The sequence below is a fragment of the Homo sapiens genome, chromosome 9 (assembly GCF_000001405.40).
Source record: "Homo sapiens chromosome 9, GRCh38.p14 Primary Assembly".
NCBI classification, from domain to species: Eukaryota; Metazoa; Chordata; class Mammalia; order Primates; family Hominidae; genus Homo; species Homo sapiens.
Genome location: NC_000009.12, coordinates 94,805,278 through 94,826,718, shown reverse-complemented (window position 1 = coordinate 94,826,718; position 21,441 = coordinate 94,805,278). Strand labels below are relative to the sequence as shown.

General features: G+C 44.5%; 1 protein-coding gene and 1 non-coding gene across 53 annotated transcripts in view, besides 2 other annotated features; both read right to left on the bottom strand.

Annotated features, from left to right (window-relative positions):
* The window catches only part of AOPEP (aminopeptidase O (putative)), a 423,526-nt gene that overhangs the window by 323,506 nt on the left and 78,579 nt on the right, over positions 1–21,441 (bottom strand). Inside the window, exon 6 of one of the 52 annotated variants that reach the window (XM_011519134.4) lies at positions 93–19,998. The exons of the other annotated variants lie outside the window; for them this stretch is intronic. Within the exon in view, the coding sequence (XP_011517436.1) occupies positions 19,983–19,998 (16 nt within the window). The 3' untranslated portion in view covers positions 93–19,982. Of the gene's footprint in view, positions 1–92; positions 19,999–21,441 lie in introns of those variants that run through there. 52 annotated transcript variants of the gene reach the window in all.
* Positions 867–1,540: an enhancer, noted in NCBI's record as "OCT4-NANOG hESC enhancer chr9:97587461-97588134 (GRCh37/hg19 assembly coordinates)". NCBI's record gives its function as "activates a minimal SCP1, AML or CMV promoter by ChIP-STARR-seq in primed H9 embryonic stem cells {active_cell/tissue: H9 hESC(primed)}" and the evidence as "EXISTENCE:reporter gene assay evidence [ECO:0000049][PMID:30033119]".
* Positions 5,296–5,425: an enhancer, noted in NCBI's record as "active region_28635". NCBI's record gives its function as "activates an Ori minimal core promoter by ATAC-STARR-seq in GM12878 lymphoblastoid cells {active_cell/tissue: GM12878}" and the evidence as "EXISTENCE:reporter gene assay evidence [ECO:0000049][PMID:35858748]".
* Positions 16,662–16,757, bottom strand: MIR2278 (microRNA 2278). The gene has a single exon (NR_031755.1). It is a non-coding gene; the product is annotated as a microRNA 2278 (primary transcript).

The following is a 21,441-nucleotide window of genomic DNA, read 5'->3' as shown; positions in this document are numbered from 1 at the left end:
CCACCACCACCACCATCATTATTATCACATGACATCAATCAAGACCCTAGCTGCTAGAAAAAGAATTGCTAAAGGTAAATCTGTCTAGCATGAAGTTTTAAAGAAAGTTTTATTGGAGAACTTTTGAATCACCTGTGCAATGTGTCACACCCATCTGTCAGCATGTACAAAAACAGACCCACCTAAAGCTACTTACTGCAACAAATGCCACCGAGCTGAAGAGAGATTCCTAGAGAGGCAAACTCCCTCCTCCCCTTCCCCACCATGTGGATCAGGAAAAGGGAACGAAGAGGCTCTGTGGTCCCCCCAGTGGGTCTCTATTATAGCTCTGTACCTGTGCTGCTCACTGTGTCCCAACATGTAGGGCCAGAGGGACAGGGCTGCGGGGAAGAGGAGAGTGGCCATGGCCTCACGATGGTTGGTCATGTTTCTTCCATCTGCCAAGAGGCTGCTGTGCACTCCTTGGCCAGGAGTTCTGTCACAATGAACTTGAAGCCCGCGGACGAAACAGCTTTGCCAGCAGTCCTATGGGAGGCTCATGTCTTCGGAGAACAAGGAGGGCATGTTCTGGTGCCCTGCCCGCTGCCACAAGGAAAACTGAAACAATACCCTTTTAAAATAGCTTTGACACAGATTTCACCGTATTTTCCTTTGAAGACATAAAAAAAAAAATCTAATAACTTTGTCCACATTAAAAAAATATGGGTCACAGGTTTTTGCTAAAAAAAGAAAAAGCTATTTTTATTTCCTTGAATCCTTGTAACAACAGTTATAAACAGCTAAACAGAATTTTTTAATTATCCTTTTAAAAATACTTTTTAAAACGTAAAGGTTATTCCTAGGCTGACACTGAATATGCCAGGTCTGTAGCTAGAAGCAAATTTTTATAGCTAGTTATAAACCCCTGAAATATGAGTTTACATTGGAAAAGCTGAAACAACCTTAACTTTAACCATGCCGATGGGCGCCCTGTAATTATAGTCCCTGAATGGAATAAAACAGTCTCTCTTCCACGGTAGCATCACAAAGAACCCTATTAACTCTCCAATTACCAAATGAGGAAACAACATTCTCTAGAACCCAAGCCAAGGAAAAAAGAACACTGCATGTTCCAACTGAAAACCTTAAAACTGAGCTTCAAAGTGACAGCGCCTAGGGAGGGCGCTCCCCTGGAAGGGAATGTTTACTTCACTTATTTAAAACGACTGAGCGTCTTCACCAAGGCTCACACAACACTACTTGTTTAACAAATAAAGATGTATGTTTCCTGGAGTGTTTCTAATTGGGATTTGAGGTCCCACCTCCTAAGAAATTCCGGGACTGGCTATCTCCCTGGAGATGCCTTCGACAACGTGGGTCTCCCCTCTCAAGGGGAGAGAAGGGCCCAGCCTTCGTAAGTAAAGAGGCACAGGCAAAACAGCAGGATGCGGGGCTGGTCTTCCACCAAGGCATCCATCACACTTTCAACAGGAAACAAAAACGGGGAAGCACAAAACCATATCCAGTAGGATTTGTAAATTGAGCTATTCAGTAGGCAAGCAAACTTTAAAAATAGTAACTTGGGGGAGGCCAATTTCCCTCCTCTCCTCCATTCTCTCCCTCCTCCCTCCCCAATCTGCTGTGCTCCCCTGGCCATCTCTTCTGCAGCAGCAGTTAAACAGCCCTGTTTTCAAAGCCATGCTAACATCTTGGGAAACGCCAGGGCAAAAATCAAAGATTCTTTGGTAGGGCGTGTAATATAAAACTTGAAGTTGTTTCTGTTAAATTGAAACAGCCATGTTAATTTTGGTGCCATTAAAAACACAGGAAAATGCTGTTGTCAAATGGAAAAAAAAAAAAAAACACTCACCAAATGGGAAGCAGTTGTATTTTAGAGACTTGAGAGTGGTATTACAAAAAGTAAAGAGCAAAACTGAATGAGAAAAAAGAAGTGTAAAAGAATGGTTATTTTCTCGAATTTATTATGTTCTTTTTCTCCACCAAGTTAAAAGAATGCATCCATCATTTCAAGGAGCCCTGAAATTCAGGTCTCAGGAGTTTCATTCTCTTGCTCTGCAAATAATGAAACATTTTCCTGCTTGAGCCATGAGCTCCTGGTTCCACCCTTCTGCAAATGCTCTCAATAACACACTCCCATGATATACAGATTAACTGAGCTATGCAGCAACCAGGAAAAATGTTCTGTACTCAAGATCCTGTTTCGAGCTGAATTTGACAAATGATCAGAAGAACAGAAATTTTCTCTTTTCTGGTTCCACCTGAAAGTTAGAGAATATTCCCAGTAGTGTTTCTAAACACCTCTGCATTCATAAACACAAGAATACATCAAGCTATACCTACAACGATGGTAATCATCTCAAAGGGTCCTCAGGAGTCATCCTCAGTCGATTTGACATCTTAGAGTATCCAAAGAGGCAGGGGCCATGATGTTACAGAAGAAGCAAGAACTAGAGAGAAGCAAAACTAAAGACTAAAGGCTCTTGAAATCCTCTTTTTGGGGGCTTAAGGAGATTTTGGAACACTGACTGTTGTTGTTCCTAAAAAACGTGTTGTGAGAGATTTTTGACTTTCATTTTAATTTGGAGGATAACTGTCACGGTGATTCCTGTTGTACCCTCCTCTGGTTAAATTGGTGTACATTGGGGAAATCACACTAGAGGTCTTCAGCAAAAAGCAAAATAACTTTAATCACCACTGCGATTCCTATTTCTATATCCCTTCTTTCTCTCATTTAATAAATAGTAGCAAAGGGTCACTTCCATGCCAGGGACTGCATAGTAAGCTGGGTGTGATACAATTCAACGTCACGTGACTATCTTTCATAGATGGTGTTTTCACTCCAAAGGCATGGCTTCCACAAAGTGATAGCTTGGCAATGCCTAGGGTTCTCAGTGATAGCAATGAGCACCCGATAACTGTGGACTTGAAACAAAATCTAAGTGAGATTTCCCTACTTCTGAGGCTATTGTAAAACTCTGACGAATTCTCCAAATTTGAAAAGATAGCTACTACCTAAAAATTCACGCTCCCAGACAGCTTGCTCAATCTACACCTCCTTCCACTCAGCCTGGTGTGGGAACCCGGGGAAGAGCCAAGGTAAGTGTGAAGGATGACATCACAAAGGGCAGTGGACACCTAAAAGCCCCCAGGAGGCTTGCCAGTTAAGAGACTTCATTAGATGCTCCAGAGAATCAAGCTACAGGAGGTGAACATGCTCTAGAAGGACCAAATTAGAATTCAGTGAGATTCAAAGAATCTGGAAAAGTGGTTCAACAAAATGAATTTCCAGAAGGACATGCAGACTAGTCTGAAGGAAGGCATGACTAACCATGTGTTAATAAAGGAGTAAAAGGTAGAGAGGTATACTGACCTTTAAATAGAAAGCGAGTCAACTGCCCAGTACAGCTGTTAGCATTTCATATAAGCCAGGCACGGTGGCTCACGCCTGTAATCCCAGCACTTTGGGAGGCTGAGGTGGGCAGATCACCTGAGGTCAGGAGTTGAAGACCAGACTGACCAACACGGAGAAACCCCGTCCCTACTAAAAATACAAAATTAGCTGGGTGTGGTGGCACATGCCTGTAATCCCAGCTACTCAGGAGGCTAAGGCAGGAGAATCACTTGAACCCAAGAGGCGGAAGTTGCGATGAGCCGAGATTGCGCCATTGCACTCCAGCCTGGGCAACAAGAGCGAAACTCCATCTCACAAAAGAAAAAAAAAAAAAGATTAGGGGACAGGTGAGTGAAATTGTGGCACCAGGGATAATGGTTCAGACTGCAGGCTCCACAGGCAGGGAACTGGGTAGAATTTCGGCACTATCACTTAGGAGACGGGCGAGATACAGAATTACTCTTTTCTCAGTTTCCTCATCTACAAAATGCCCAAATGGAATCTATTCCATAGAGGATGCAAGTCTTAAATGGGATGATACATGACATGTACTCAGCGCAACACGAGGCACAGAGTTCAGAGCTCGATAAACAGTTCCTATCATCAGCTATGGAGACATCTTTCCAGCTTGTTGTGTCTGGTTTCAGACTTCTTAATTTCCGAGCAATGAAGAGAATCAGAAAATGCTCCAGCAGAAAGCAACTGAGATGACTAAAGAATAGGAAAATAGAAGTTATAAAAACGGAACTCAAAGCTGTTGGGATTATCTAGCCCAGAAAAGAAAAATCTGGAAGGTAGCAAAGCAAATAAACAACAGTGCATTATTCAGCATGAGGTAATCAGATACTCTGCTGTTGGAATTAGGCTGTGCAGGGAGGTGTTTTGTTAAAGCAAAAACAGCAAAGCTTAGCCATAAAAAACAAAACAAACAAAAAACTTCCTTAAACTTTTCTTTTTAGGAAAAGTCATTTCCCTTGGTCTTAGAGACTAGACAAGCACAAGTCTATTTCACAGCTGATCAGGCATTCATTTGAAAGCACAACAAAATGACCCTCCTGCTGCTGTTTCAGCTTCTAACAAGATCAACACATCCTTAAAGGGGTCAAAGGGCCCTGCAAAGGGGCTAGAGTGTGTGACACAAATGACCAGCAGCTCGTCTGCCATGTTCTCTGGGCCTCTCAGCCCTTCTATGATGGTTCTCTTTGTCTGTTCCCTCTATGTAATGAGTGCCCTGCCAAACCAGCCTGGGGATCACTGTATTTCTGTGTGTCTATAGCACACAGCCACGAGCGGGGTCAGTAGGCTGAATGCCTGCGTGTGTGTGTGTGTGTGTGTGTGTGTGTGTGTGTGTGTGTGTTTACACACACAGGGTGCACAGATCTATGGCTTATGTTAATTTTGTATCCACTAAAATGGTTGCCTTTTAGAAATACAAAAAAAAACTTGCCATGCTGGTAAAGAACATTTTCTGAATTTGTTCTTATTGTCATGCCTTACTAAGGCTGAGATAAATCACATCTATTGCTTGCCTCCCATTGATGTTACCACCAAAAAGAAAAAATAGATTAGTTAGGCCAACATGAAACCATAACAGGGTAGCAGCATAGGCTCTGCCTACTATTTAAAATTGAGTTTTGGGTGGTATGCTCTAGAATTACATGTCAGGGGCATACGGATGTTCAACTGAGTCTTTAAAAAAGGTTTCAGCAACTCAGCTCCAGCTCAACTCACTCTTCCTTGAGGAGCCTGGAAATTCAAACACATCTGGTTGTTTCTGGAAGCCACCACTTTCCACTTCCCTTTCTGTCATGTCACTCCACTTTCTCTGTATTCAAATCATGCTTGGCCTCTGCCAAAGTCTGAAGATTAAAACCACTGAAAGTCTCTGTCTTCTCAACATCCTTCCATTTTAACAAAAAATACAGCATTAGCCTTCCCCTTCATTTTTTCTCATTGTGGTAAAATATGATTTCCCTTTAGTTTGTAAGACTGGTGGTTGGTCTTTTGGGCCAGGATCTGGGCAACCTCTTGCCTGCTCACCACTGAAACTGTGGGGTGAACGCTCTATCCTGAAAGCCCTGCTGCAGGTCCCCACACCAGCTAATGTCATTCACTCAACGCCAAGGCACCACCTAAATAAATAAACCCAAAAGCCCAAAAAAGCATAAATAATACTTACTTCTCTTAACCAGAAAAATAAATTGCATTTCTCCATGCTATTTAAAAACACTTGGTATGTGGATTTACTTTTTCAACAGAGTTTCTCTTTAAACTTCCAAAGTTAGTGAAAATAGGATGAACATAACTTTATAGAATTGTTAAAATTAGTGAAACCTGAAGAACTACATCGTTATAAAATTGCTGAAAAGGAGTCATTACGGCTTCCACTTGGTTTATTAAACAAGGTCTTAGACCTAAATAAGCAAGATCTTCACCAAGACACATTAGGTTGGGGGCGAGAGACTTCTTTTTCTTATCTCCATCCCTGCTATGGCATGTAGGTTTCTCTAAATATCAGTGAGCTACGCAAAAGTGCTGATATTCTACTGCTTTTAAGATTTCCCCAAACAGAAATTGCATGTGGTTCCACCTACAGTTACCAAGCACTAGTGAAGGATAAATAAGATGCAGGCACATCCCTACCTCCCACAATATGGCAGGTATGTTAATGAAATCTTTGTGATTCACTGACTATTTAAATATACCAGGTGCTCAACACAGCATTGTTTACAACAGTAAAATTTTGGAAAAAGTCAAAGATCCATATTTTGGAAAAGTATAACTGAGAGCATCCATAGACTAGAATACTATGCAGCTAAATAAAAAAGAATGAGAAACTCTTTAAGGCCTAATATTATATCTAGGGGATAATGATAATTGACAAAAGCACAGTGTAAAATAGGGTGTGTGTTCTATCTCCTTTTAAGAAAAGGGAGAGAGAGTAATAATATGTATCGTCTAATTGGCCTGCATCTGCATGAAGGAACACAGGGGGTTAATACAAAAAGCTCATAAAGTACTATACCTAAGGAATGGAAAATCGGAACAGAGGTGGGGAACAAAAACATAAAAGAATTGCACTGGCCAGGCGCGGTGGCTCACACCTGTAATCCCAGCACTTTGGGAGGCCAAGGCAGGCAGATCACCTGAGGTCAGGAGTTTGAGACAAACTTGGCCAACATGGCAAAACCCCATCTCTACTAGAAATACAAAAATCAGCTGGGCGTGGTGGTGGGCACCTGTAATCCCAGCTATTCAGGAGGGTGAGGCAGGAGAATGACTTAAACCCGGGAGACAGAGGTTGCAGTGAGCCGAGATTGCGCCACTGTGCTCCAGCCTGGGTGACAAAGCGAGACTCCATCTCAAAAAAAAAAAAAAAAAGAATTGCACTAAAGAAACTTATTATTCAAAGCTCTTTTAAGGTTGGTCCTTTTGCAAAATTAAAATCCCTTTTGGGCTGAGCACAGTGGCTCATTCCTGTAATCCCAGCACTTCAGAAGGCCAAGGCGGGAGGATTGCTTGAGCCTCAGAGTTTAAGACTAGCCTAGGCAACGTAGTCAGACCCCGTCTCTATGAAAAAAAAAAAAAATTTAGCCAGGCATGGTGGCACATGCCTGTAGTCCCAGCTACGCAGGAGGCTGAGGAGGACTGATTGAGCCTGGGAGGTGAAAGCTGCAATGAGCCCAGATCGTGCCATTGCACTCCAGCCTGGGTGACAGAGTGAGATCCTATCCCTAAAACTAAACAATAAAATCCCGTTTGCAAAGTGTCTTGAGACATTCCATTCTGGCCTACAAGATTATCTCAACCAAGACACACAGTTACTATTTACAAAATGCTGTGTATGCCCCGGGGAGGGCTGGCCTGTGAACACAGGCGGAGAGGGCTAGGCATTCAGAGGAAGAGTGGCGGGCAGGAGTTGCCCTGGCTCCCCGCAGCTGCTGGCCACACACTTGGTCTTCTTAGCCTTCTGACTCTGGGCCTCTCTGGCTCTATTTGGAAGATGCGGGTGGGGTGACAGAGGGTTCTTTCAGAAGTTTCCATCACGCAGTCCTTTCAGACACAAGTCAGATAATGGCTCAGATAATACTGAGAACAGATCAGAGACAGCTGTTTCAGGAGCTGACAGGCTCAATCTCTGATCCAAAAGTGATGGGAAAAGAGGTCAAGGACAGAGAGCTTTGTCTAACTGGTGGGAACAGAACTCCAGGAGGGCTGGAAGCCAGGCAAATAGGGCTTGGATAGTCTAGTTTAATCCAGGTGGGATCCCAAATCCCTGAAGATCAGGTACAAGATTTCTTTTTATTTTTTTTGTTTGTTTGCTTTTGTTTTTTGAGACGGAGTCTCACTCTGTCGCCCAGGCTGGAGTGCAGTGGCATGATCTCGGCTCACTGGAAGCCCGGCCTCCTGGGTTCATGCCATTCTCCTGCCTCAGCGTCCCGAGTGGCTGGGGCTACAGGTGCCCGCCACCATGCCCGGCTAATTTTTTGTATTTTTAGTACAGACAGGGTTTCACTGTGTTAGCCAGGATGGTCTCGATCTCCTGACCTCGTGATCCGCCCACCTCAGCCTCCCAAAGTGCTGGGATTACAGGCGTGAGCCACCGCGCCCGGCCTTTATTTGTTATTAAATGTGGAAAAGGAACTAAAAAATACATTTTGAGCTGAATCAAATAATGTCTGGTTTCTTTACCTTTACTGCCTTCTTTACCCTTCTTTTTGGGGGGAAGAAAAGTGAGTATGTATATTAAAAGTTCAAGCTACAGCCTTGAAGGAAAACCTAACAAAAATGTAGGTGCTGCTCTAAATGCTCCTTCTGAAACGGAGAAATTCCAATGTGTACAATGTAAGGAATGTGGACCAACAACTCTGTAACAAACCTTTCATATTGTCATACTACCATGCTAAGTCACCATACCTATTTTTATTTTCTCCCTGGAGCTATTATTTTAGAGAATTATTTTAGACATTGGGTTGATAGGAACTGTAGAATCTGTGATTCACACTAATAAGCCACAAAACTTATGTGTTTATTGACCCATAAAACTACCAAATTTTCCTAAGCCTACTGAAGCAAGGAACCAGTATCTGCTGAGGACCTAAGATGTAACGGCATCTACACATAATCTTATCCACAAGAGTTCTGGAGATGAGTGGTCTATGGCACCTTACCAGGGAGTAACAGGACACAGCAGTCAACGGCAGAGCTGGGGATAGAGCACTGACTGCAAAGCAGAGCTCTCTCTCCATCATCTTGGGCGACAAGCAGAGGTGGCAGGTCTGAGGCACCATGGTAGGGTGGTAGGGTAACATCCTATAGCTTGTACTGTGCAGTGGCTGGATGGCTTCCAAGGAGCATGATGACTTTTGCCCAGGAAGAGGCTTCCATTCTCCCAAGGGACCAGCTGTGCCAAAACACTGACCCTGGCTGGGAACTGTTTTCTCTTTCCCATTTTCTTTAAACTCAGCTCCTGAGATTTTCTCTTCTCATGCTTCTTCCTCATACTTCACATGAAAGCTTAGGGAACTCTTTGGACCCAGCAAGATAGGCATCTTAGATACTGCCCTCCGGAATGCCAAATCTAGGCCTAAAGTTCTTAAGGGGCCCCTTCAAGGTCCTTGGTTTATTGGCCATGCTAAATCACTTCTGTTCCCAACTTTTACTTGAGGATAAATATTCGGATGGATATTGGCATGCTTGCTGCTTTCAAATTATGCCATAACTCGTCCTACTAGACCTCAAAAGCCTTCTCATTTTCAAAGCCCCAGGAGCCAAGGATGCCTGGGCAATGCTAGGGCTCCAAGGACACCTGGACACTAAGGCAGCCAGCCAAGGGAACAAGGATGCTTGTCTCTCAGGCATGGCCATGGAGCTGGCCAATTGTAAGCACCACACTCGTCCATGCAGCATTTCGTAAATACTGGGACCAGTCCCTCCATGAGGGAATATGTTAACTTTCCTCTTCTTCTTCATTTCATGCCAAAGACAAGTCAAGGCCTTTCTTTTAGAACATAGGGTACAAGGGCCAGGTGTGGTGGTTCACGCCTATAATCCTAGCACTGTGGGAGGCCAAGGCACACAGATTGCTTGAGTCCAGGAGTTCGCGACCAGCCTGGACAACGTGGCGAAACCCCATCTCTACAAAAAACACACAGAAAATTAGCCAGGCATGGTGGTGCACGCCTATAGTCCCAGCTTACTCAGGGGGCTGGGGTAGGAGGATCACCTCAGCCTGGGAGGATGAGGCTGCAGCGAGCCATGATCGTGCCACTGCACTTCAGCCTTGGGTAAAAAAGTGAGATCCTAAAAGGAAAAAAAAGGAAACAGAATGCAGTACAATGGTAAGAGAACATGACCCTAAATTGTAATACCATTTTGCAATTAGATCTTTTTTATCAATGTCAGGAGAATTGAACTGAAACACCATGTGCACAGGCCTTCGTGGCCCTGTTAGAACCTTGACCGTTGCAGGAACTGCTGCCTTTGTTAGACTCACATCCCTTTAGGAGAACGAAATGGGAACCAGATATCCTAGATGATACCCTTTTTGGGAATATACCTCTCATAGCCTTCCCCCACCTCCTAACCCAGACCTAGGTCTAGCACTCCCTGCTCCTCCCTACCACCCAATTCCACCTCCAACTCCCCAGTCTTCTTCTAGCTCCACCATCTCCAGCCCTTAGTCTCCCGTTAGCCCACCTCCTTACCAACCTATATGCCCTCCCTACTGAAGGAACAGAGCCCTGCCAGGGTCACCTACAGTGGCATTTCCTACCTTCCTAACCATTCTAAGTTATGCTCACTTAGGGAGGTGGCCAATGGGGATGCTGGGACCATCCAGGTGCATGTACCTTTTTCAGTGTTTGATCTAGCATGATGTAGCCAAAGGTTGGGCCAATTTTTAGAGGACCCAACTAAATTCAGGACGAATTTCAGGCTCTCTCACTCTCACCTGAGTTAACTTGGTGAGTTATTCATATTACCTCGTCCACATGTTGCACCCTGGAGGAAAAGCAGTGTATCTGCGTGGAGGCCAAGGCTTATGCTGACAACTTATTAGCTGGGGACCCTGAACTATACACTGTGGGGGCCATGCCTGTGCCTAACAATGACCCCAACTGGAACTATCTACAAGGCCAGGCTAATCCAAGAAAAAGAAATTGTATGGCAATTTGGTTAGTGGAGAGAATAAAAAATGTACACTAAGGCTGTGAACTATGATAAAATAAGGGAAATAAGGAAAGGATGAAAACCAAGCTTTGTTCCAGGGTCACCTTGTGAAGGCCCTAAGAAAATATATTAACACTCACCTCAGTACTGATGCTGGCCAAATTTAACTAGGGACACACTTTATAAGCCAGTCAGCACCCAACATCAGGAGAAAATTACAGAAATTGTCTTTGAGACCCCAAATACCTATTAAACCAAAGCTTGATGAGGCTTTCCAGGTATTCAGTAATAGGGACAGGGCTGAAAAGGCTGAAAGGACCCAGTGTGGCAAACAATGGGATAGATGGCAGGCCCAAATGATAGCAGTTACTATGAGCAGCACCCTGCAACCTCAGGGTCATCCAGAGAGATGCTTCACCCATGGACCAAAAAGGCCTAACAGCAACCGTGCAGGCAATGGTTGCTGCTTCAAGTGTGGGAAGCCAGGACATTGGGATAAGATCTGTCGCAGCCAGGGGAGCCCACCCAGATGCTGTCCTCACTGCAAGCAGGGGAGCCATTGGAAAAGGGATTGCCTTCAGCTCCAAAGGAATAGGAGGATACCCAGTCCATAATGGCCATAACTGAGGCCTGAAGGGGCCCGAGGTTCTCGGCGGCTCCCATAAAAGGCCTGGTCATCATAACTGAGGAGCCTCAGGTGACTCTTGACATGGCAACTAAGAATATCAATGTCTTAATTGACACAGGGGCAAGTTACTCTGTCCTAAATGGCCACTCTGGGCCCTTATCTTCCAAAAGCTGCACTGTCATGGGTGTCAGTGGCACCCCAAAATCAAAACACTTTACAGTGCCTCTGAACTGCAGGCTAGGAAACTATATGGTAACTCATGAATCTCTAGTTATGCCACAGTATTCTACTCTTTCATTGGGATGGGACTTCCTAGCCACCCCTGAGGCCACTTTACATTTATCAGGCCCTGGGTGGGGGGCCCTCCTTTTTGGCAGTGTTGTTTCCTAAGCCAGCCTCGGAATGACAGGAGATCCATCCCAAAATAAGGTCTCAGACCCACAAATATGGGACCAAGAAAGCCCTGGCAAAGCAATTTATGCTCAGCCAGTGATCACCTCTTTAAAAGACAAAAATAATTTCCCACACAAGCGTCAGTATCCTCTCAAACCAAAAGCCAAGCAAGGACTCCAACCTCTAATTGACAAGTTTTTAAAACATGGCTTCCTGATTCCATGTCAGTCTCCTTGTAATACTCCTGGTCCTTCCTAACCAAAAACCAAACAGAGTACCGTCTAGTTCAAGACTTGAGAGCCATTAATGAGGCTGTAATTCCCTTACGTCCGACAGTGCAAAATCCTTATGCCATACTTACCCGAATACCGGGAGACCAACTGGTTCACAGTATTAGATCTTAAGGATGCTTTCTTTTGTATCCCTTTGCATTCTGACTCTCAGTATTTGTTTGCTCTTGAGAGGACTAATCCTGGAACTAATATTACCCAGCAGCACACCTGGACAGTACTGCCTCAGGGCTTCAGGGATGGCCCTCACTTGTTCAGAAATGCCTTGGCACAAGAGTAAAAGGAGCTAGAGCTAGAAATGGGGAGTCATTCTCCAATATGTGGATGACATCCTTGTATGCAGTCCCACTAAAGAGGACTCAGAGAAGAATGCCATTCAAGTCCTAACCTCCTGGGAAAGTCCTAACCTCCCTCTTTGGGTATCAGGTCTCTCCATCCAAGGCCCAGATTTCTAAAACCAAAAATTAAATACCTGGGGTACATCCTAAGCCCAGGAAACCAGACCTTCTCCACAGAGTGAAAGGAGGCTGTCTAAAAGGTGGGACTGCCACAAATGAAGAAGCAACTCAGAACTTTCCTGAGTACAGCAAGATTTTGCAGGATTTGGGCTCATTATTAAGCCATCATATGAGGCCCCAACAGGGCCAGAGCAGGAACCAATTGGAGGTGTTTGTGTGGTAATAAACCACACCTATTAATCTTATATTAACAATTCAGGATTAAACTGCAAGTTTGAAAGATTTACCAACAGACTACCTTGCTACATAATTTCAATAACCCCACTGCTCAACATAGATATTCCACCCCTTGGTTCAGAAACCCATAGAGATAGAAACCCCAGCCCCCCTTGTGCATGACTCTCTCTCTTTAGTACACCAAACTCCCTTTTCTTGAGTGTGTACTTTATCTTCCAACTTGTCCTTGAATTCCTTCTTGTGGCGGTGTCAAGAGCCTGAACACAGCCAGGGTGGAGGTCCCTCGAGTATCAATCTCACATTGCATCCTATGGGGAGCAGAATATGAAATGTTCTTGGTTGTCTGGGGCTTGCCCTTGCTCATGCTCCAACCCATTTCTGCAGCTCAGCTCAAGCAAACAACTCACCATTAGGATCCACCTGCCCTGTGCTTCAGAGGCCAAGAGCTATAGAAGCCCAGGCCCTGATCCACTGTCAGCACCTGCTGGGACTCATTACCCTGCATGAGAAACTCCTTAGGGAACCAGAAAGCACAGCTTGCCCTTCCTGGTGGGTGGAAAATCATGGGAGGGGCAGAGCAGAGAGGTCTCTCTGAGTAGCAAGGATTCCAGGTCTTAGCACAGGCTGGTGAGGGGGAGGACAGGGCTAGTCTGGAAGGAAGTTACAGGAAGCCTGTGATAGCAGGGCTGTGGAAGGACCTGGAGCTTGTTTGTGAGAGGAGACATATCTGAGGACACCCCGAAAGCTATAAAGTCAGGTGGTATCATCATCAAAGAATCTGAAGGTCAGAGGTGGACCTTCATCAAACCAGACACTGTCAGGTTTACTCAAAGCAACCAAGATCTTTAATCTGAAGAAAGTGAGTTATTTTAGATTATCAGGTCCAGAGAGACATTAAAATGAGGGAGCAATCACATCTTACCCCTCCCTTTGAGCTATGCACTCATCTCTTGTAACTGTTTGCTACTGCCAGAAGTAGCTATAAATCAACCTAATAATGCCACAGCAGACTCTATAACCCACCCTATAGCTTAACAACGTATAGCCAATCACTAATCAATGTTATTTCGAAAACCCACGAGAATTCCTAATAAACCACTTTGTACAGCCCACTCCTTGTCCCCTTTTTTTTTGCCTCTAAAAACCTGCTTGTAACAAAGGCAGGATGGAGCTCATATCCAAGGTTCCTTGGGTCTGAGTTTTCCAGGCAGCCATCCTCACTTTGGCTCAATAAAACGCTTTAAATTATATTTGGTGCTTCAGCTTCTTCCTTTTAGGTCTACACCACTGACTCCCCTTCCCAATCCTAAGGTCTAACTGATGCTTTTGCTTGTAAAACCAAAAGGGAAGTGTCCCTTTGTAAATTATTCAGGGCTGTGGGTGTAAACAACAGAAACTCAACTCAACCAGCTTTGACCAAATAAAGTCCTTATTTGAAGGCTCAGAGACCCATAGGAAGGGCAGGGGCACAGAGTGAATGCCATTTCTCTCCCTTACTCTGCTTCTCCTACATTCTCTGACACCAGGCTCCTCCCAGTGATAGGAAACATGGTCCAGTCATTCTCATACCACACATTTCTCAGCCTCCTCTACTTGGCATTCTAACTGGGAAATCCCAGGGCAGGATGTGTGCCAAAGGTAAGTAATAAGATTCCCTTACAGAGGTGCCCCTCAGGCAGGGGGTATAAAGAGAAAGTGGTTTGAGTCCCTTGGAGCGAGACAGTGTGATGCACTTCTATGGCCTTGGGAAGACTTCCGGATTCTGGGGAGGACAGGTTGGCAAGCACTGGTCTTCCTCTTAGATTCTAAGTCAGATCTCAGCAAGATATCTAAGGGGCCAGGCAGGGACCCTCTCCTTCATATGTTCCCGTAAGCCCACCAAACAGTGGAGCACATTGCTGGTGGTGTTACCCATTAGAGAAGTAAATATCTAGCTCTGGGCCTACTTCTTCCCAAGTTTAAGGAAGTATTACAGAGTGAGAAGATGTGCACGTGGTCCTAAGAACAAGCACCCTTTCCCTCATCTCTACCTTTAGAAACATAGTACAGGAAAATCCAAGCCTCATGATCTAATTAGTACAGGTCTCCTTCCTTGGACAAGGAAGCTGAAGAAGAAGTGTTCCCTGGATAAGGGACCATCAATTGTACTCTCAAATAACTTGAAACTATCGAAGTGTTGGTAGGCAGGAGGATGAATCCAATAGGTTCCTTTCATCTGTCCATTTATTCTCCTCACCCCAACTTGCCAGCACAAGCATGTGTGGCCTTTGAGGGTACGGGAGACACTCCAAGTTTAAACAGGTAAAATTCAGAGAGATGAACCTGGACCATCGGAAAGGTTAGAATAATCCTAAGAAGTTCTCCCCAGACAACACTTAAGCTGAGGAGATGCCGCCTCTGGGGGCTGCACCTGAGTGGTTACCGGGACAGGCACAGGGGCCTGGGCAGGCTTTCTGGGTGCAATTTCCTGCAGTGGCCTGGAGACTGGGGCCCAGTCCCCTACCAGGCAGTGCACCCTGCTGAGCTCTGGGACCCAGCATCTCCTGGTTGCTTACAGCTCTGCAAGGAGATATCAAAGCCAGGATAAATGGTTTGAAGCCAAAGTGGTGGTGGGGGGCAGCTGTGGTAGAGAAGGGATTGCTGATGGGGAGTGGAGAGAGCCCAGACGGAAGAGGTCTGGGGGCAGGGAGGGAAAGGCCAAGGGAGAAGAGAAATCAGAATTAAATGAAAACAGGGTTTGTAGCTGCGCCCCTCTCAGTAAAGTTCTGCCATGCATGCATTAACCTTCCATCAATGAAAACAAAATCCAGGGACCTCATGCCTGCCTGCTGGGGCATATAAAGCCTAGGGGACATAATATCTTCCAGGTGGGTGTGCCCAGAAGCACACATTGGTACTTGACAAGTCATTTAAAACTGACTGTCAAGGTCAAAACAACACCACCTGCAGGCACAACTGAAATGTCTTCATCCATTCCCCCGCTCTGAGTTCTCTGTTGTTGTTGTTTTAAACTAAAACACAGTTTGAGCAGCAGACAAGCCTGACAACTGTTCAAACATATGTATGTGCAACTTATTAGCTTGCAAATGGAGATATCTGGAAGCTAAAGACATGTGACAGGGGTAGGGGGCAGGTTAGCCACTGACTCTGAGGGGTCAAAGGAGGAGGTCCTTTGATGGGCTGAAGGAAGAAGGCCTTCAGTGATGGAACCCACTCCTGATGGAGTATTTGAAAATGATGCTTTTCACTGATGACACACAAAACAGAGGCAGTTATTATGAAAAGAAGGGGCCCCTGCCCTTGAGATCTGTTTATTTTGCAATTAACAAGGGTTAAAGAGGCCCCCTTCTGAAACTTTTGCTTGGGGGCCTAAAATTTAAACACCTACTACTGCCTAGGTGCCCACAGAGTCCAAGAAAATCCAAGCCTCATGATCTAACTAGCTCTTACATCAAAAAGAAAATATACATGTATTTTAAATTGCTGAACGAAACTGAATCACCCCCATGCCTTGTTGAAATAAAAAACCTGATTAAAGGCCAGGCGCAGTGGCTGACGCCTGTAATCCCAGCACTTTGGGGGGCTGAGGTGGGTGGATCATTTGAGGTGAGGAGTTCAAGACCAGCTTGGCCAACATGGTGAAACCTCATCTCTATTAAAAATACAAAAACGAGCCAGGTGTGGTGGCGCGCACCTGTAATCTCATCTACTCGGGAGGCTGAGGCAGGAGAATCGCTTGAACCTGGGAGGTAGAGTATGCAATGATCCGAGATTGCGCCACTGCACTACAGCCTGGGTGACAGAGCGAGACTCTGTCTCAAAAAAAAAAAAACAAAAAAACCCTGATTAAATCAAATGTAGGGGCCCTAAGACATTCTGCGGGTTATTCTAAATCACCCCCTTACTTTTCCAGAGAAGAAAATTAGGCCAGGGAGGCCCAGTGACTTGCCCAAAGTCCCCGCCTGTGACTGGATGCAGTTCCTAGGAAGCACGGCCTCCTTCTGAGCAACAGAAAAGCAGGAAGCCTCACCAGGGAGCTTTCTCACCCATTCACCGGCACGCTCCAGCCTCTTCCTGACCTTCTTACCTGTGACATGACGGCAGGGTCTGGAGTCAGTGCAAGCTGTCTGGGTGATACCAGTCCACACAGTCCCCAGGCAACACACACTGCTCTCCAACACCTGCAGCACAATCAGCTGGGAAGACCTGTTAGCCTTCCAGATACCAAGACTGCGGCTCAATTCACTGAGTCAGTCTCCAGGGTAGGGCCCAGGCAGCTGAAGGGAGCCCAGGGCACGTGCCAATTCTTTGGGATAAAAGTGACAGAATTTACTTTCATAATTGTTTTTTTCTCATCCTTTTACATTTTCTATTTTGTGTATGTGTTTTATAGTGTACCTAATATATTAACATTGTACTAAATGCATATAACTTATAAATAAATAAATATAGATATATGAATTGGGTAATTGCTCAAAAAGAGGTCTATAAACAGAAAAGCATGGGGGCCTCCTGCACCAAACTGTGAGTCCCAAGAGGGCAGGACCTGTGCTTCCTCACTGCTGTAAAGCAAAGCCCTTGCCCAGGGCCTGACGCATGCAGGTCAGGTCCTCACTCACCACTGACAGAATGAAAGGCGAATTCCATCTCCAGCTGTATCATGGACTCCCAGATATTTCTGAATAGAATCATCTCCCAAAGTGTGTTTTGAGGAGGTGGTTTTTTTGAAACCACAGTGGTTCCATGAAATGCTCACTGTAAAAAGGGCTCCCTCGACACAACAGTTGGGGGAATACTGCTTATCCTGTCTCTGTCTTCAAGATGCACAGATATACCAGGATATTAAATCAGGATCATAAGAATATTAAAGGCTTTCTTAGAAGCCCTCCAGTAAAGAATCTCTTTTAAGTTTATTTAATCCATTTATTTCCTAAACTAATTAACCTACAGTTCCTTTTCCCACATTATTAACATTCCATAAAACTAGTCTTCCTTGAAACCAACTTTAGAAACTCCCAATTTAGATTTAGGCTAAAGGTCTATACTTCCTCATGGCCACAGCATCATCAGCATTCATCACACCTGTCCGTTGATACATGTTTGTCGAGTGAGTTCTTGGCTTTGTCCATCCACCCCTTTCCAACTGCGCTTTCAATAGGATGTTCTAAGATTGCACATCTATGAAAAAAGGCAAAAACTGCAGCTGGCTCATTCCCAAAGAAAAGCACCATCCTTAGGTCCTCAAGATGTCCTTTTAGAGGAGACCTACTCAAAAACTAGGACCTGCCAACCACAGTTTCCAACAACTTAGCAAGGTGGGCTCCAAGGAGCACAGGCCAAGGGTGGGTAGGACCAGGCTCACAGGAGCACCTCCTCCTCCTTGCCTACCCCAAGTCTTGGCTGGGGAACCCAAATATCATTCACACTTTCTTAGAATGAAGTTCCAAGATTTCCATTTTATGGTGAGAAACAGGGAGGTGATTATTCTTAGCAAGCTAGCTGGGAAGGTAGGAGCAGATTTGGTTTGTTCAATGACTGCAGATTTGGCATTCTGTCTTCTGGGAACAATGTCTAGACTTTCCGAGGAGTCACCTCTATAAATAGCATGGTTAGTTAACCAAGAAATATAACATGTTCTACTCTGAGCTCCACTCTGGGGTTAAATCAGGGCGGATTTGTGCAATGTACCTCAACTCCCACTTGGTATTCAATTTTTTTTAAAAAAAAGTAATCCATTTTTGAAGGGGGCATCCCCCTCACATCTGTGGCATTTTAATATAATAATGTTAAACTTCTCTTAAAGAAAAGCTGAGGCTGGGCACGGTGGCTCACGCCTGTAATCCCAGCACTTCAGGAGGCCGAGGCAGGTGGACTGCCTGAGCTCAGGAGTTCGTGACCAGCCTGGGCAACATGGTGAAACCCCGTGTCTATTAAAATACAAAAAATTAGCCAGGCGAAGCAGCGTGCACCTGTAGCCCCTGCTACTCAGGAGGCTGAGGCAGAACTGCCTAAACCTGGGAGGCATAGGTGGCAGTGAGCCAAGATTGCACCACTGCACTCCAGCCTGGGCAACAGAGTGAGACTCCGTCTCAAAAAAAAAAAAAAAGAAAGAAAAAAGAAAAGGTGGCTGAGACACTCTTCCAATTACTTATTAGGGGTGAAATGTAGAGACAAGGCAATTTCTCACCCACTTTATGCAAACAGGCCTCTATGGCGCAGAGGTGGGCTCCAGCTGCATCTTGGCAATATTCCCTCCAGCAGAGCTGTTCACACATTGTACTTTGCCTGAGGACTTTCCAGAGTTGGTGTTTTCCCTAAAAGAAATCTACCCTTAAAAGAAATACTTACATAGCTCCATGACCACATGCATACATCAGCAGTACAGAAGCTGGTAGTATTTGCTCACTCTGTGTAGTGGTATAAGGAGAAAGAGCTTGCAAGATTGGGAATATCCCAAGTTAGGTAACTTTGTGCACTGAACTCCATTGTTCTTTTTCACCCAGGGAGTGTGTATGTTCTATTCAGTAATGATGCTTCGGTAAAGAAATAAGTGGCAAGGCGGGGGAAAAAGCCTTTTCTTTGCAATGGAAAAAATGGCAAGGTGGTGCTGACTGGCCGTCTCAGGCTCAAGGACTGGAAGACATTAGGAACCTAGGATGACATCAATAGAGAGATTACAAACGCAGGTAGAGGAATGATTGCTTCAGGAAGGCCTTTCAAAGGCCTGACAATTTCTCTTGAAGGATGGCCCCAGCAGTGTTCTCTGAAGGTAGGACTGTCAGTCTTTGTGTGGGGAGAACAGTTCAAAGAAAACCAAACACTTAAGCATAATCTTTCAGAGGGTGAAGAATCATGGTATAATGATGATAAGATGCTACTTCTCGATCTGACAAGCAACACAGCTGTTTAATGGCAAAAAGAAGATTCTAGTTAACCCAAAAGCTGTGAGTTCACTCTGCCTGTTGCTCCAACAGAAGAGAGAGAGCCTGGCCCCCAAGAACTCATGTGATCCAGGAATTTGCCTGGTATCCAGATTCTATGGCTGCCTCAAAGCCAGCCCACAGTGAATGCTGATCTTCAATGATATCTTCACTCACAGGGTCAGTATGGTTTCTGTGTGGAGACCCTAAATCAAGCACTCACTGCCTTAGAAACAGTTACACATCAGCCTTGCCTAAGTCTGGACCACCAGACTCTTGACAGCCATCACAAGATGAGGCCATTTTACTTGTCTCCCTGACTTCCTGCTTCTAAGTGACTTTGGGACATTATATATCCTCTTAATACCCGCTCTGTAAAAAATGGAACATACACACACATTCTCACTACCTACCTTGCTTAGTACAAAGTGGTATTGTCAAGACGAACAAAATAATCCTGGCCAAGGGCTTTCAGGGTCCCAGAAGAACATCACTTTATGAATACCAGTTACTATTTCAGGAACACAAAAATGAAAGAACCAGAACACATTAGAAGGGGAAAGCCCCTACCTATAACATAGGACGCAAATAAAGTCAAATAATTTTCTCAAGAAGGATAATTGAAATAAAAGAGAAAATGGAGAAAGTGAACACAAAGAAAGCAACAAAGGGGAAGCACACATGGGCATAAATCACCTTGCATGTGCCTCACAGCTCACAACTCATTCTGTTTGTTCATCTCTACAGCAACAGCAGGGTTGCCAGTAAACAAGGGATTAAAATTTTACAGAAAAAAAGGATGGTATGAGCTGCTTTCTATCATTCACACCCACCTGTTTGAAAAAGCAGAGAAGAGTTATACCACACAACAGGGGAAAGAAATGCCCATTCAACATCTTTTTAAAAAACAATCCATGCAGAAAGAAAATTGAGAATTTATTAAAATCTGAGAAAGAAACGACAACAATAACAAGAAACAAAACCCACACACAAAACAAAAATATGCAGCACATCGGAGAAAGTAGAGAAGTTGGCAGCCATGGTGAATTCAAAGGCATACTAATTTAAGGCTCAAAATCTGATTCCTGAGGCAAAGAATCACTATGGCTGCATCTTGCCTTGAAATCAGGGGGTCACATCCCCTGAAATCTAAAGAAGGATTGTTTAAAAGTAGGGTGGTTTTGGTTTGAGGGATCAAAAATTCAAGTAAAGCCAACAAAGAACAAACAAAGAAAAATTCTCAAAGCTGTGAAACCTTGCTACTTAAGATAATGACAGAAATTTATGACTGCTTCCTTCCCCAGCAGAAAGGAGCATAATTAGAAAGCTGAAAACAACAGGCCCTTTGTACCAGCATGTTATGTTTTGCTTATTCTATTACACATTGGCTGGGAGATAAGAATAAACAGGACAACACCCTGTCTAACCCGGGAGGAGGGAGTGGAGGAAAAGGCTGGTTACATTCATTCTTGGGCATGTACGTGCATACCGTTTATTTGCAAATTGAGGTACTTAAGAAAATTGTGCATGCAATAGTCAGGAACTAGTATAAACATTCAGAAGTCTTTTATTGCACAATCAAACCTTTTAAGAATAAGCCTTGTGTAATAGGGAGCTTTATAGTTTTTCCTCATAGTGAAGCATGTTGTGAAGATTTTAATAATTGATAATTTTTTCTATGGTCTTTAATTGTCAATCCTATTTTCATTCAGTTGTTGTTGCTTTTTTTAAAAAAAAAAACAAAAAACAAAAAACAAAAAACCTTTCAAACTAGGATGAGCAAATAAAACTAGGATGAGACACAGCTTCCCTCTCTGTGACCAACGATGTCAAAAACCCTTGCAAAGAATCAATCAACAGCTGCCAGGGGAAGAAAACGTGGTGATCTGAGACTTCTCCCTTCTCTACAAAGGGACGGTTGCCCGTCTGGGTGCCAGGTGTTCTGATAGCTTCA